The 17,151-nt window shown below is 47.2% G+C and overlaps 2 annotated features.

The window, feature by feature from the left end:
* Positions 638-1,169: an enhancer, noted in NCBI's record as "H3K27ac-H3K4me1 hESC enhancer chr17:55213025-55213556 (GRCh37/hg19 assembly coordinates)". NCBI's record gives its function as "activates a minimal SCP1, AML or CMV promoter by ChIP-STARR-seq in primed H9 embryonic stem cells {active_cell/tissue: H9 hESC(primed)}" and the evidence as "EXISTENCE:reporter gene assay evidence [ECO:0000049][PMID:30033119]".
* Positions 16,728-16,928: a silencer, noted in NCBI's record as "peak2909 fragment used in MPRA reporter construct". NCBI's record gives its function as "represses an SCP1 promoter by STARR-seq MPRAs in K562 erythroleukemia cells {active_cell/tissue: K562}" and the evidence as "EXISTENCE:reporter gene assay evidence [ECO:0000049][PMID:32103011]".

Below are 17,151 nucleotides of genomic sequence, written 5' to 3' on the forward strand. Positions count from 1 at the left end.
CATCTTAGCCTCTGGTGGATGCAGACTAGGCCTGTCAGGATACTTGTGAGTGATATGAAGAAAAAGCCGGATCCTGCCAGGCTTTAGACCCTTGAACCTTAGATCTCTGACCACATCAATGTGTCACTAAGGCTGAAACCTCCCAACCTGCAAAGGCAAATGTACATGCCTGGACAGTTCTGGGTTGGCTGTGCCAGTTAAGAGCTGTGTGATCTTCGGGAAGTTACTCCACTTCTCTGGGCCTCAGTTTGCTCCTCTATAAACTAGGGTCAATAATAGTGCCGCCTCAAAAGGTGATTGTAGGACTTAAACATGAAGCCCTGGCATCCAGGTTGCACTCAATCTATATTTTATTATTTATGTCCCTTAGCTGCGGCCTGAAGACAAGATCTGCTGAATGCTTCTCTGTAGAAATCTCAAGCAGGCCAGCTGTGTCTGCTTCTATGCGTTCTTCCAGAGTCGCGGCTACCCCATCTCTCTAGGTCCATAGGGGCCCGTCATTTCCCCCACGCTGGAGACCCAGTTGCCAGTCCTCCCTCCACTTTCCCCTGGAACCGCCATGGGATGCTCCTTGGCTGTAATTATGGCCCCAGGGTGCAGCTGCCATCAGAACACCTGCTGCCCAGGCCCTGCTCTCAGGGTGCGAAGCTGGGATCCCCCGTTCAGGCACAAAGACCTCAGCTGGCTGCCTTAGGGACCCCTCACCTGCCTCTCCGCTCTGAGTCCTCATTTCCCTCTCCATCAGCATCATTACATTAGAATTCTCGCCCTTCCACTTATCAAATCAGCATCGTGCCTGTCTGTCTCCGCCACTGTCAACAACGCAGCTTCTTGTGTCTCTTGCAACCGGGCGTCTGGGCCGCCCCTCTCTCTCTGGCAATTATGATTCCTTCCCCAGCTCACATGGAAAGTCTTTGTTCTTCTCCCTGAACGTTCAAGTTAATTTCCACTGACTGTTTATTCAGCCTTTGTACTGGCTGGCTTGCTACTCGCTCAGGAAAGGCAGGCCTTTGAGGCAGAGTGGGAAGGCAGAGCAACAGTTTGGGACAGGAAGGAAAGACACTTCAGAGAGTGAGGGGGCGAGGCAGGAGTCCTGAGGGCCCCGGAACGTGGGCGTGGGGAGGGGAGGAGGGAACCCAAGAGGGGTAGCCTGCCAATTCCCAGGTTCTGCTTTTCGGGTTAGCATCTTGGGGTATTTCTTCCCCGTGTAAGCGTGCGTGCAGATGCACGTGGCTACGAAGGCGCGTAGAGTCACAAACCTACAGATGCGGGAGGCAGAAAAAAATAGCTCTTGGCAGTTGCAGCTATCTCTCTGTGGGCCTTCTGTTCTGCCGAGCATCTGAGAGTTTGGGAGGAGGTTCTGGACCAGCAGAATTGCGCTGCTCTGAAAAGGGAAGAATTTGGGGGCAGAGAAGAACCTGATCCCACAGGGAGGAACAAAGAGGAGAGAGGGGACTGGAAGGGGAGATGGGGAGGGAGGGAAGGCTGGGGTGGCGTGGCCGCAGGGGAGGAAGTCCCGGCCAGGGCGGCCTGAGGAATACCACGCGCCCTTTTAAGGTGTTTGCCCTGTGGTGCCGATTCGGTTTCGGGTAGCAGCCTTGTATTTGAGGTGCTTGGAGATGGGGCTGGGGGTGAGGTGGTGTCGGGCCAGGAAACGAGGAGGGAAAGGAAGAGATGTCTCATTTATGAATGCTTAACCAGAGTGGAGATAAAGCCACAGCCAGGAGACCCAGGGCTGAGCAGGATTTGGGGGAGGCTGGAAGTCTAGAAACTCAGCTCTCTGGAATTTGGAGAAATTTTGGAGATAGTTTTGGACTGTGGAAATAGAAATGGGCGGTCTAATCAATGCTACCCACCTTATGGGGCCAGGAGACCCCAGCTGACATCTGGGATTCTCTATATAAACACAGCTCTCCAGTATTTTCATAATCTAAAAATGCATACAAGCAATTATATGTAACACACAACATAAGACATTTATAAATCTATGAAATCATATGAAAATATAAATGAGAAAATCAAATATATTTAATATAAATACACGTATAAATATACGTTTTAGTATGTAATCATATATATATACATAAAATGTAGAATACATAATCATATTTTTAATATATGTAATATAAATAATATCTTGGAACACAAAATAAAGTCACATCTTTTACTTTCCCCGTTCTGACCACCTCTAACTTGTATTTGAAGTGTATAGGCCATTTACATTTTTTAACTTTATTGATGTATAATTAGAATAAAATAAACTGTACGTCTTTAAAGTATGCAACTTTAAAAGTTTTTTGTTTTTTGAGACAGAGTCTCACTGTGTCACGTAGGGTGGAGTGCAGTGGCGCAATCTCGGCTCACTGTGACTTCTGTCTCCCGGGTTCAAGTGATTCTGCTGCCTCAGCCTCCAGAGTAGCTGGGATTACAGGTGCCCGCCACCATGCCCGGCTAATTTTTTGTATTTTTAGTAGAGATGGGGTTTCACCATGTTGGCTAGGCTGGTCTTGAACTCCTGACCTCAAGTTATCCACCCGCCTTGGCCTCCCAAAATGCTGGAATTACGGGTGTGAGACACCACGCCCGGCCATACAACTTTATAAGTTTTGACCTATGTACACATCTGTGAACTCATCACCACAATCAAGATAATGAACATATCCATCACCCCCCAAGTTTACTTTTTTCTAGGTAGTCCTTTCTGCCCCTCCCTCCCATCCCCCAGACAACCAACAATCTGCTTTACATCACTGGAGATTCGTTTGCATTTTCTGGAATTTTAAATAAATGGAATCAGGCGTATGATTCTACTTGGCTTCTTTCACCCGGCATCACTTTTTGAGACTTATTCATTTGCTTTGTGTATCAATAGTTCTTTCCTTTTTACTGCTGAGTTCCACTGAATGGTTGTACCACAGTTTGTTAATCCAGCCACCTGCTGAAGGACATTTGGGTTTAACATTTAAATGAAAATGCCTCCCACATCCCATATCATGAATTGTAAGAAGTTCCTCTCTTTTCCTGAGTTTCTCCTCATTTCTGGAGTGCTCCAAGAGCTGCAGGGTTAATTTCTCCCTGGGCCAGTAAGTTCAGGACCTGCTGCCAGCACAGGTAAGCTGCTCAGTCTCCTGCTCTGGGCCAGGCTCCTCACTGCTCTGCCCCATCGGCCCCTCACAGGGCAGCGTGGGCATAGGAGGCAGGCTCACACCGTGCCTCAGGGAGCTGGTCAGGAGCCCAGGCAAGCCCTGCTCTCAGCTCGCTCCAAGCAGACACAGCTGTGCCTCTCCACTCGGTCAGGGCACATTCTGGGCCTCCCCAGGGGTACACACGTGCACACATGGCCACACTCCCCTGGAAGCGAGCACTGCAAAGTCTCAGCCTCTGCTGGGGCCGCACAAGCCTCCCAGCTGTTTCAAGGAGGCTCTTCTCACTGCAGTCTCCCATGTTTCCATCCCCGCCTCCTGACTAGTCTCTCCCTCTCCTTCAATCCCCTTCATCCACACTGGCCCTTTGCTGTTCCTCAAGCACACAGGTGTACTCCTGCCCCAGCACTTTTGCACGTGCCCTTCCCTCTGCCCAGAATGCTTTTCCCTCAGGTGAGTACTCCTTCATTTCCTTCAGGCCTTTACTCAAAAGTCGCCTTCTCGAGGAAGCCTGCTGTGGCCACCTTATACCTAAAATTTCAGCCGGGCACGGTGGCTCATGCCTGTAATTCCAGTGCTTTGGGAGGCTGAGGTGAGTGGATCACTTGAGCCCAGGACTTCAAGACCAGCCTGGGCAACATAGCAAGACCCCTGTCTCTCCAAAAAAAAAAAAAAAATTAGCTGGGCATGGTGGTTGAGTCGGGAGGATCGCTTGAGCCCCAGAGATCGAGGCTGCAGTGAGCTATGATCACACCACTGCACTCCAGCCTGGGCGACGGAGTGAAACCCTGACTCTAAAATTACATTACATAAAGTAAAATTTCACCCCACCACCCTTTAATTTTCCCTTTCCCAGGCTGACTTTTCTCTTTGGCAGGAGTCACCATTGCACGGCATAGTTTACTTCTCTCTTGTTTATCATTGTCTCCCCCATTGGACTGTAAGCTCTCTGAGGGCAGTAAGTAGTCTGCTTTGTTCATCACAATTCCCCACCCCTAGAGGGCCTGGCACATAGTAGGTGCTTAAATACTTGTCAAAAGAATGAGTGGATAAATGGACATTTGTTTCACGTTCATTCTATTGGAAAAGAGAGTCCCCATCCCTCCAGGATGAATAGCCAAGGGCGATTTCAATCTGAACAGGATGTGTAATTTCCATACTGAGAGATGAGCACATTTAGCTCACTTAGTAAGTCCTGATGCAACCTGATCCTGTGCTGACACCGAATCACACGGCTGTCAGAGTCTCCCCAGGCCTTAAGGAACAGCGCCTCTAGTTGTTTGCAAACTTAAAAAAAAAAGGTACAGTGGATCCCCTCTTTTTTTCCTCAAAGAAATCTTTCTGGAATTTCATTATACAAAACATATAACATTGATGTTTTGTTAGCATGAAACTACATGCACACATTTATAATATTTACTTATTAAATAAGGACATCGAGATTGATGAAAATACAAAGTTGACCACGTGCAATGTGATATATTGGATTGGATCCTGGAACAGAAAAACGACATCAGTGGAAAAACAAGTGAAATCTGAATAAAATCTAGAGTTCACTTCAAAGTGACATACCGCTGTTGGTTTCTTAGTTTTGATAAATGGTAATGGATGTGGGTAATATTAGGAAAAAGTGAAAGTGGGGTAGGGGTATTTAGGAACTGTTGGTGCTATCTTTACAAGTTTTCTGTGAATATAAAATTATTCCCAAAAAGTTTATTATTTATTTATTTTGAGACAGAGTCCCACTCTGTCGCCCAGGCTGGAGTGCAGTGGCATAATCTTGGCTCACTGCAACCTCCGCCTCCCGGGTTCAAGTGATTCTCTTGCCTCAGCCTCCCAAGTAGCTGGGATTATATATGTGTGTCACCACGCCCGGCTAATTTTTTTGTATTTTTAGTAGAGACGGTGTTTCGCCATGTTGGCCAGGCTGGTCTTGAACTCCTGACCTCAGGTGATCCACCCACTTCAGCCTCCCAAAAGTGCTGGGATTATAGGTGTGAGCTACCTTGCCTGGCCTAAAGAGAAAGTGTATTTAACAAATGTATATTGCATCCCTGGAGGTTTAGTGGTTAGGATGTGGTGCCTCTCTCACCGGTGCAGCCCAAGTTTGTTTCCTGGTCAGGGAAAAAAAAAATATTTCTTATTGCATTAGTAAATAGATTTAACAAACAAAAAATACAAATTTGAAATTACGGTTATGGATGACAATTAGCATCTTCCACAACATATAAATTATTGCCATGTTTTGCTTTGGTGATACAATATTGAAAAAATCTTGACTCTCCCAGCTAAGCAGTCCAAAATGGCAACAGATTTTGACAGCTGCTCGCCTTGCGGTCGTAGGATATGCACCAATTAAACTGAGAAGGCGAGAGAGGCTCATTTCGAGTTCTCTAGAAGAATGGGGAAAGCAGATAGTCCACATGAGTGCAGCGCTGGTCTGCAAGGGGTTATCATTTTGAACAAAGCACATTAGAATATGCACGTTGTTGCCTCTAGTTTTAAAATAGTTTTAAATATTTTTGAAAGATGATGTTTAGATTAAACGTTTGCAGACCCTGTGAAGCATCGCTAGGACTTTGGCAAACACAATCTGAAAACCACTGGTCTCATCCTCAGTTCCCATTTTACAGATAAGAAAACTGGGGCCTGGAGGCCAGGTGCAGTGGCTCACGCCTGTAATCCCAGCACTTTGGGAGGCCGAATGGGGGTGGATTGCTTGAGGTCAGGAGTTCAAGACCAGCCTGACCAAAATGATAAAACCCCATCTCTACTAAAAATACAAAAATTAGCCGGGCATGGTGGCGCATGCCTGTGATCCCAGCTACTCGGGAGGCTGAGGCAAGAGAATTGCTTGAACTCAGGAGGCACAGGTTGCAATGAGCCGAGATCATGCCACTGCACTCCAGCCTGGGTAACAGAGCAAGACTCTGTCTCAAAAAAAAAAAAAAAGAAAAAAAGAAAAAGAAAGAAAGAAAACTGGGGCCTGGAGAGGATAAAGGACTGAGTGTTCGCAAGCAGAGGATAAGCCCATGGTGGTCATATTTCCACCATGAGATTCATTTCTATGGATGGATTTAACTGGCTATTTTTCCTAAATGCTCGGATAGAAAGCCATTGCATGCTTCATTCTATCTGTTCTCTTGAGGGTCATTTAGTTAGCACCATTTTTTTTTCCTTCCATAAGCAGAGAGTGGCTCCCTGTGGCTCCACATCCTCACTGGTGCTTGGTACTATCAGAATGGAAGGAGGAAGTTTCCCCTTCTACTCTAGAAACCTTGATGGTCCCAGGACCTGGGTTCTTGCCCTGAGTCTGCTCTCGCTCACTTCTTGACCTTGAGTGACTTTGACTGTCCTTATTTGTGACATGAGGAGGTAGGCGTAGCTCAGAGGTTCATAATTTGAGTGTTTTTGTTTGTTTGTTTTTGCTTTTGTATTTTTTTTGAGACAGAGTTTTGGTCTCGTCATTCTGGCTGGAGTGCAATGGTGCAATCTTGGCTCACTGCAACCTCCACCTCCCGGGTTCAAGTGATTCTCCTGCCTCAGTCCCCCAGGTAGCTGGGATTACAGGCGTGTGCCACCGTGCCTAGCTAATTTTTGTATTTTTAATAGAGACTGGGTTTCACCATGTTGGTGAGGCTGGTCTTGTACTCCTGACCTCAGGTGATCCACCTGCCTCAGCCTCCAAAAGTGCTGGGATTACAGGTGTGAGCCACTGCACCTGGCCCTTTGAATGTTTTTTTTTTTTTTAATTACAATTTCACAAACCTCCTCCATAATAGCAGATGTAGTTGTAGTATTTGCTGATTGAGAAAATACCTGATCCTAGGTGACTCTGAATTCAGTAATAATTTACATTATTAATTTGTATTTCATTAAACACTGTAATATGTAAGACATTTTGAAATGGCTCTGCATGTATCTGTGATCAGTATATTTATTCAGTTTATCCACAACGCTTTTTACACATATGGACTCATACTCCATACCCTATGTTTATTCACCCTCCCCCCATCTCCCCACCCCACAGTCACAACCCAGGGTTGGAAAATATTGGACTACAGAACGTCAGTGAAGGGGGAAGAGAGCATAGTGGTTTCAGAAAGCCCTGGATTTGAATCCTGCTTCTGCCACTTGCTAGCTAATGACCTCGGGCGAGTTACTTGCTTCCTGAACCCTAGTTTTCTCTTACGTGGGCACACATGCACCAGGCACTGTTCGAAGTGTCTTCTATATATTAATGTTGTATGCTTAGAACAGCTCCTGGCACCTAAGTGTTTTTAAATGTTAGCTCTTTTTCTTATTTCAGTTAATCCTCCCAACCATCTTAATAACAGAGTTATCATTCATTTATGTATTTTATTTATTTATTTATTTATTGAGGCAGAGTCTGTCTCTGTCACCCAGGCTGCAGTTCAGTGGCACAAACATGGCTCACCACAACCGCAACCTCCTAGGTTCAAGCAATCCTCCCACTTTAGCTTTCAGAGTAGCTGGGACCACAGGCATGCGCCATTACACCTGGCTAATTTTTAAATTTTTTGTAGAGATGGAGTCTCGCTATGTTGCCCAGGCTGGTCTTGAACTTCTGGGCTCAAGAGATCCTCCTGTTTTGGCCTCCCAACAAGCAGGTGCTGGGATTATAGGCATGAGCCACTGTGCCCAGCTTCATTTATTTATTCAATAGATATCTATTAAACATAAACATGTTCCAGGCATTGATTAGGCACTGGGGATATATCAGTGAACAAAACAATAAAAAACTACTGCCTTTATGGAGCACACCATTATCCCAATTTTACACTGAAGGAGGCTGAAGCCCAGAGAGGCTAAGTGCCTTTTCCAAGTCCACACAGTGAGTATAGAGAAAAAGCATTCGGGTTGCTTTGTCTGATGACACACAAAATTCTCCCACACTGTCTGGGAACTGTTCCTGCCCACACCCAGTTCATTGAATGCTTCCTGCAGCAGCTGCTCTGGGTTCGTGACCCTGCTCCTGACCCTTGAGCCACACGGGGAACTTGGATTCCATTCCTTGTACTTGGGACCAGAGAAAGTACAAAGTCAGCTCGTGGAAACTGTAAGAGGCAAAACTTGGGAGCTGGTGGCTGCCATGTTTTCTTCCATATGGAGAATGATAATCTGGAGCAAGAGGGAAGAATGGAGCTAAGGACCAGAGAAAGGCAGAGATGCATAAGAGAGAAGCATCTGTAGCCATTTTGAGACCCAGCCCCATGCCTCTCCTTGAGTTCCTGGAGACACCCAATATCCTTATAACAAGCTTCCCTTTTTTGCTTAAACTTGCAACCAAAGGAATCCTAGTTAATACCGTGGGATATGGCAAGTACCTAGCGAGTGACTGCTGTAAGATTCTTTGAGCTCTTGCCACACCCTAGACTTGCTGTTTTGGCTTCTGGAGCTGAGAGTGTCCTGCTCTTAGATAACTTTGCAATAGATTCACTACTTCAGAGCATGTGACTGCAACCTAACTCTTAATAAATCAGACAGGAGCTTTCTGCATGGAAAAGAGCTTCTGCCATACATCATTTTTGTTTTCCTCTTGGGGAGAACAGCTATGCTACAGCAATAACCTGCCACGTATACATCTCAAAGCCCTATTTATATAGCCATATGGATAAATATATATAAATAGGACTCGGGAATAATAGATTAAAGGATCTGCTCATCCGTAGAAGACTTTATGGGGCTTTCAGGACCTAATGGTGGCCTGATTCAGTAAGAAAAATGGGTCTCTAGTAGGATGTGGCCAATAATTAGATGAGTCCATAACCTGACAGATGCTCACCTGGGAGATAGAGAGGTCGGGGGACCTTGTGAGGGGCCAGGGACTCCAACAGAATAAGCTGTAAGCGGGAACAGGAAGGGAACGGATGTGCAAAGTCATGAACTCTGAGCTGTCTTCCTAGCTCAGCTCCTGTTCTGTGTGACCTTGAGCAGGTCACTTGCCTTCTCTGAGCTTTAGTTCCTCATCTATAAATGAGGAATGTGGACGTGCTGACCTACAAGATTCTTTTTTTTTTTTTTTTTTTTTTGAGATTGAGTCTCACTCTGTGTCCCAGGCTGCAGTGCAGTGGCTCACTGCAGCCTCGACCTCCTGGGCTCAGGTGATCCTCCCACCTAAGCCTCCTGAGTAACTGGGACTACAGGCATGTGCCACCATGCCTGTCTAATTTTTGCATTTTTTTTTTCAGTAGAGACAGGGCTTTGCCATGTTACTCAGGCTAGTTTTGAACTCCTGGGCTCAAGCAATCTGCCTGCCTCGTACTCCCAAAGTGTTGGGATTATAGGCGTGAGCCACTGCGCCCAGCTGGTTCTTTTCTTCTCTGACATTAAAATGACTCTGAGGCCTATGATCATGGTCCTCTGGGTGGGGAAGGTTGGGAAGATCTCATCTGAGTTTAGCTTATCCCTAGGCCTTGACCAATCGCTGATGCTCCTTAAGGGTCTCCTACATTTTGGAGGCATATGCAGAAGGAACCTGAAGTCACAAGATCAGAGGTCCTGCGGCAGTTTAAATAACAATAGCAACAACTGCTACGACTACTTCTCCCATTATTCAGCACAACTGCAGCTGGGGGATTTAGGTTCATGGTCTGCAGCTAACATTTATTGCGGACTTACTCTGGGCCAGGCACCATTCCTTACGCTTTATGTATATTATCCTGCTTCACCCTCCCAACGACCCCAGGAGGTAGGTACTGTAGCTTCTACAGGAGGTAGAAGCAGAAGCACAGAAGCCTAGTGTGTGTCCCAGGCCACACAACCGGTAAGTGAGATTGTTAAGATGCCCCCGGGAGTCTGTCTCCAGAATCTGTGTTCCTCATCACTCCTGCATACTCCCCATTTACAAGGGCAGAAACTGAGGCTACAGGAGGTTAATTGATCTGTGAACAGCCAGGATCCTGGGAGTTCTCAGACCTGTCCATTTTGTGAGAAGGGAAAAAGTCTCGCTGCTCCTTGTGTTTCTTTCTGTTTTTCCAAGTCAGTCCATTTTTTTTCTTGTAACAAAAGTCTATTTACGGAAGAGACATATAGGACCCAAGATAACCATGCATCAGTCATGCTTCAGTGAACTCCCAAATCAAAGATGGGCTGGATAACGTGTACCCGACGCTCTTGGCTTTTTCAGCATTTCAGACGTTTTTGTTGTTGTTCCCTCTGTGGGTTGAAACCAGGCTTTTGTGACTTGATGAGGACACATTTTTCCTGGGGTGTAATAATGCCACTGGTGTTAGCCCTAATGCTGAAGAGAGAACATTTGCTATTTTGGAAGAGTTAATCCCAAAGCTTCTTTCTTTTGCTCCTGCCTTTAGAAAAGGCATTTCTGAGGCAGGTCCAGGCAAGAGTACTGCCTCTGTAATCCGCCCTCAATCATCTTAGCGCTAATCACCGAGCTTCATTGAGTACTTTGTAATGTGCCAAGCTGGGAGCTGAAGGCTGATTTGATTCTCTTAACATCTTCTGAACGGGTATAGCTGTTACCCCCATATTACAGATAGGGCACTGAGGCATGGAGCTTAAATGGCTTGACCAAGATGCCCCGGCAGCAAGGGGCAGAGCTGGGAATAGAACCCCGACTCCAGACATAGGCTATTAATGCCACAGTCTGCTACTCCAGGACTGACCATTACGTTTGTGGGGAGTGGGAGGGGAATGAAACTGCAGGGCCTCTTGTTCAACAAAGATTAAGACTTTAAGACTGCTGGGTGCAGTGGCTGAAGCAGTTTGGGATGCTGAGGTGGGAGGATCGCTTGAGCCCAGGAGTTCAAGACCAGCCTGGGTAACATAATGAGACCTCCGTCTCTATCTTTTAAATATAAAAAACTAAAAAATTAAAAATAAAAATAATGTAGGCCGGGCATGGTGGCTCACGCCTGTAATCCTAGCACTTTGAGAGGCCAAGGCAGGTGGATCACCTGAGGTCAAGAGTTCAAGACCAGCCTGGTCAACATGGCGAAACCCCGTCTCTACTAAAAATACAAAACTTAGCCAGGTGTGGTGGCACATGCCTGTAATCCCAGCTACTCAGGAGGCTGAGGCAGAAGAATCGCTTGAACCCGAGAGTTGGAGGTTTCAGTGAGCCAAGATCGCGCCATTGCACTCCAGCCTGGGCAACAAGAGTGAAACTCCGTCTCAAAAAAAAAAAAAAAAAAAGTGTTAAGACTGTGACGGCAGAGTATTAACCAACTGTGGAGCCCTTCTCAGTATGAGGCCCTGTGTGACTGCACAGGACAGATGCCCAGGAAGCTGGCCCTGACTACCCCTTTGGGCAGTTCCCTGGCTGTCTTCCAGCTTCCAGCCCTCTTTTCCAGGGGGACAAAAGCACCTTGGCCCAGGCAATGTGCTTTATACCGCCCTGACAGCTATGAAAAAGAATGGCACAGCCTGGGCTTTAGAAAGCTTGGGTTGCTGCAGGTTCCTTCTGAGCAGCAGGCAGAGAGGGCTCAAGCCAAGACTGGGTGCCCCAGCCCATCTTCTGCCTCATCGGTGCCCCCGAGGGCTGGCACTTGGCGAAGCCCCACCCCACCTCCAGGCTGTGTCTTGTGGAGAACACAGCCCCTCTGGACTCCTCCCTGTCTCTGCCCATCCTGTGGCTATGTTCATGATGGGGCCTCCTGGAGGTTCAGAGAGGGCCAGAACATTGTCCTTTCTTTAAGCTTTGGTTTATTAAACAATGGAGAAATGTCAAAACGGATTGCAAAAATTGTGGTGTGCTTCAAATGTGTGCATGTTTAAAATCAAGGCCATTATTATAAAAACAAATAAGATGCAATATAAATGTGCTTTTCCCAAGACAGTTACTGGATTTATTCATTCCCAGCTCACATACACAGTAGAACCCGGTAATGGAATACGTGGTGTTATGATATAGATGGGCTGTTGTCCACGGCTTCTGCTTCATATCTCCCATAGCCCCTGTTACAGCCTTTACTTATAATGTTGGGTGTATTAGGCCTCAGGGGCAGGCTTCAGGAAACAGAATCTCTCTCTTGCCCTCCATTCACCTAACTCAAGATAGGACTCTCATTTTCTTTTTTTATTGAGATGGAGTCTCGCTTTGTCACCCAGGCTGGAGTGTAGTGGCGCAATCTCAGCTCACTCCAACCTCTGCCTCCTGGGTTCAAGTAATTCTCCTGCCTCAGCCTCCTGAGTAGCTGGAATTACAGGTGCCCACCACCATGGCTAGCTAATTTTTGTATTTTTAGTAGAGACACAGTTTCACCATGTTGGCCAGTCTAGTCTTGAACTCTTGATCTCAGGTGATCCGCCCGCCTCAGCCTCACAAAGTGTTGGGATCACTGGTATGAACCACTATACCCAGCCTCAACTTCCCCTGCCTTTCTGATTGTGGGTCTTAAGGCTTTCTTCAGAGAGGGTCCCACCCTGTACCCTGGGGGGAAAATGCTTTGAAACTTCCATAAATACCCAAGAGGACTGGGTTGGGGGAGCTCCCGGATAGCTGAACGTGTGAAGCCTGGTATCCCAGGGAGGGGATGGAAGCTCCACGCCCTTTCTCCTATACCCTATGCATCTCTTCATCTGTATCCTTTGCAATATCCTTTTTTGGAGACAGAGTCTTGCTCTGTGCCCAGGCCGGAGTGCAGTGGTGTGATCTTGGCTCACTGCAACCTCTACCTCCCGGGCTAAAGCCATCCTCCCACCTCAGCCTCTTGAGTAGCTGCGATTACAGGCATGCGCCATCACGCCTGGCTAATTTTTGTATTTTTTGCAGAGACGAGGTTTCACCATGTTGGCCAGGCTGGTCTCGAACTCCTGGCCTCGAGTGATCTGCCCACCTTGGCCTCCCAACGTGCTTGGATTACAGGCGTGAGCCACTGTGCCTGGCTGCGATATTCCTCATAATGAACTGGTAAATGCGAGTGTTCCCCTGAGTTCTGTGAGCTGCTCCAGCAAATTAATTGAACACAAAGAGGGTGGTGGGGGCAATTGTGAAGCCAATCAGTCAGAAGTTTCAGAGGCCTGGACTTGCCACTGGTGTGTGCTGGAGGGCAGTCACGGGGACTAAGCCCTCAGCCTGTGGGAGCTGACGCTATCGTAGTGTCTGAACTGAATTGGAGGACACCCCCCTGGGGTCCGCTGCTTGGTGTGTGGGGAAGAAACACACATACCTTTGGTCATAAAAATTCTGTGTTGATTGCTGTGGTGTGACAGCTGAGGAAAAATGTGGCTGGAGAGAGTTTTTCCCTATAGAATATAATTATTTTTTAGTTTTCATTGAGGTATAATGCACGAAGTATGGGGAAAGTGCACTGATCTTAGGTGTTCCACTTGCTTTTTATATATGTATATACCTCCATAACCACTACCGACATCAGGATATTTACAGCACCTAGAAGTTTCTCTCACCCCCCTTCAAAGTCAGTACCCCCGAAGAGGTCAGTGCCGTTATGGGTTCTATCACCTAATGATTGGTTTTACCTGTTCTTGGATTTCCTATAAATGGAAGAATACAGTGTATATTCTTTTGTGCTTGGTATCTTTCTCTGAACATAATGTCTGTGAAATCACCTATGTTTTTGCATATGGCAGTGGTTTATTCTTTTTATTGTTGAGTAGAATTCCATTACGTGATTATGCTGCAATATATTCCCCATTCTCTTGCTGAAATGGGCATTTGGGTTGCATCCAGTTTGGGGCTATTAGGAGGAAAATGCTGTCAACATTCTTGGACACTCTTTTTTTTGGTGGATATATGCACCCATTTCTCTTGGCTGGGGTATGCGTATGTTTAGTTTTCTGAAGTGGTTGTACCAGTTACCACTCGTATAGCAATGCATGAGGGAAAATATACGTTTAAAACTGTAGGATGAATATCCTCTTCTTTCGATCTATTTGGTATCCCTCTGTGAATGCAGCATTTTGCAGAGATGTCCAAGTTTGAATAGCATGCTGGGCAGCCCCCTCGTGCCCCACTGCGACCATATCTGATAGGAAAATTCCACGGAGACACTGCTTTCTCTCAGGAGCCTCTGTACCCCATCTCCTCCACATTACCCTCCAGCTGCCGGGGCAGGGGCTTTGGAGGTAGGATGCCTCCAATCTGACTAGCTCTGTCAATGAGGTCATGGAAGGGAAAACTAAACCAAGAAAGGAAGAGCCAGAGGGGAAAAATGAGGGGGAAGGAAGTGGTCGCATGTGACAGAGAGTCCTGTAGGATCTTGGGAAAGCCGTGTGGATATCTAACCCGGGATCCTCAGCTGCCTTCACTTTTTGGGCAGCTCCCATGGGCCAGGCACATCTGCTGCTTCGTGCAACCATTCCAACAACCTTGTAAATTCGCTATTATTAGACCTTCCCCTGTGTTAGGCACCTTGCTAATGTTCATTACCTCTAATCTTCATGACTCCTCTGTGGACAAAAGAGAAAAAGGCAGAGCAGAAAGACAAGCCACTTGCACAGGACCACATAGGCAGGAAGTGCCATCCTAGGACTCGAACCAGACCCTGCTGGGCACAGAGGGGAAGCCTTGTGGTACCCGACAAGCGGAGCCTCTGTCATCAGAAGTTATTTGCTCCCATGATGTGTGACCTGTGTACATGTATCACAGGTATATGAGAATGAACACAACTTCCGGCATAGGTGTTGCTCATCTGAAAGGCTAAGCACAAATGGATGTTTTACAAGTTGAATTACATTACTTACCAGGGGAGTTGATTTTTTAAAAAAAGATCTAAGAGGAGACATAGGGAGAGGCCGTTGGGAAATGTGACCATATCTTCTGTGTGGATTTTATAGTTGGGACTCGCATGGACCCACTCCCCGCTGCCTCCCTCCCACTGTAGTGCTAGCATGTGTACATTGCAAGAGGCTCAGTGTCCTATCTTGGTTTGCAGAGACCCCGAAGTGGTCAGAGCCCCTGACTCTGGCTCTTTGCTTTGTGGCCAGGTAGGTGTCCACAGCCCACAGGATTCAGGTTCACGCATGAGGGGCAGGCTCCTCTCCTTTCCCTACTTCCCACCCCAGCACTTGTGGAGAGACCAGTCATTTCTGCCAGGTCTGTTTATTTCAGCCTGTGAAGCAAGCTAACACAGCTAGTGAAGTCATAGAAAGGGATGCCCTGCAGTTCCAAAAATAATTGTTCTGTTTGTCCCCTCAGGTGGGTGAGAGGAGCAATCACAAGCTCTGGATGGGACGTGCTCATGCTATGGCTGGTCACCGTGATCACTCAGTCATCTAAGGGGGGCAGTCCTGGTGCCGGCCATACCACTCTTGGGCATGGGGGCTGTTACCAGTGGTAGTTATCCATACGGGTCTGCAGCAATCTCAGTTTTTGCCTCCTCAGAAGAAAGAATTCGACTGAAGGACATAAGAAAGAAGGAGAGACTGAGGCAAGTTTTAGAGCAGGAGTTAAAGCTTATTAAAAAACTTTAGAGCAGTAAGGAAAGGAAGGAAAGTACACTTGGAAGAGGGCCAGGTGGGCAACTTGAGAGATCAAGGGCACAGCTTGACCTCTTGACTTGGGGTTTTATACGTTGGCATACTTCCGGGATCTTGCGTTACTTCTCCCCACTCTGCAGATCTTATTGGGAAGTTGCTGATCAGTTTTAGGTGTTTTCTGTCTATTAGGAGACTGCCTTTCCCTGGCGCTGGCTGTGACCAATTATTATTTTAGAGAAACAGTTAACAACTGCCTGACCATCACCTGATGGTTGCCCATCACTCCTAGTGTGTGTGGTGTGGGGGAGCCGTCTCCTCCCCTGCTCTACCTGACTAGTTACCTCGTGTGGGAAGGGGCCCCCCCAACTCCCACTGCCCAGCCTGCTCCTCTCTAGAACAGCCAGACTTTGTAGCCACAAAGAATTCTTTGAGCTAGGCACAGTGGCTCACACCTGTATTCCCAGCACTTTAGGAGGCTGAGGCAGGAGGATCGCTGGAGCCCAGGAATTCAAGACCAGCCTGGGTAATGTAGCAAGACCCTGTCTCTACTAAAAAAAAATTTTAAAGAGAGTTCTTGGTGGGAGATGTCCTTGCTTCTGCCCAGGAACAGCTGGCAAAGCCAAGTCAACAGTAGCAGAGGGCTTTTCTGTGAGTTCTCAGAAGGGCCACCCTTAAAGGCAGGCACCAGAAGGCTGGGCGCAGTGGCTCATGCCTTTAATCTCAGCACTTTGGGAGGCCAAGGCAGGCAGATTACTTGAGCTTAGTAGTTAGAGACCAGCCTGGCCAACATGGTGAAACTCTGTCTCTACTAAAAATACAAAAATTAGCCGGGCATGATGGTGTGCATTTGTAATCCCAGCTACTCGGGAGGCTGAGGCAGGAGAATCGTTTGAACCCGGGAGGTGGAGGTTGCAGTGAGCCAAGATTGTGCCACTGCACTCCAGCCTGAGCGACTGAGCAAGACTCCATCTCAAAAAAAAAAGGCAGGCACTAGAGCTTCTGGAGCTACGAAAATGTATTGTTCTGAGAGGTGACAGAAGGGCAAAAGATGAAGGTTAGATGAATGGAGGGGAGTTCATATTTTTTTAGTACCTACAATGTGCTAGGAACTGTGTGAGGTGCTTCCACATGCCTTATCCTGTTTGCTTTTCACAGCAGTCCCATGAAATAGATACTATGTATTATAAATCCCAGCCCCCTGCCCCGCTTTGCTGGCCCGCAACCAGTGTGCTCATAGGGAGTCCTGTGCTCAGAAGGACACCTGCGCTGTTTAATGCCCTGTTGTCACTGTGATGTGGTTTGGCTCTATGTCCTCACCCAAATCTCATCTTGAATTGTAATCCCCGCGTGTCGAGGGAGAGGCCTGGTGGGAGGTGATTGGATCATGGGGGCAGTCTCCCTGCTGCTGTTCTCATGATAGTGAGTTCTCACGATAGTGAGTGAGTTCTCACGAGATTTGATGGCTTTAAAGTGTGGCGTTTCCTCCCTCGCGTTCTCTCTCTCTTTCCTGCTGCCTTGTGAAGAAGGTGCTTGCTTCTCCCTTTGCCTTCTGCCAAGATTGTAAGTTTCCTGAGGACTCCTCAGCCAT

Source organism: Homo sapiens, chromosome 17 (genome assembly GCF_000001405.40).
Source record: "Homo sapiens chromosome 17, GRCh38.p14 Primary Assembly".
NCBI classification, from domain to species: domain Eukaryota; kingdom Metazoa; phylum Chordata; class Mammalia; order Primates; family Hominidae; genus Homo; species Homo sapiens.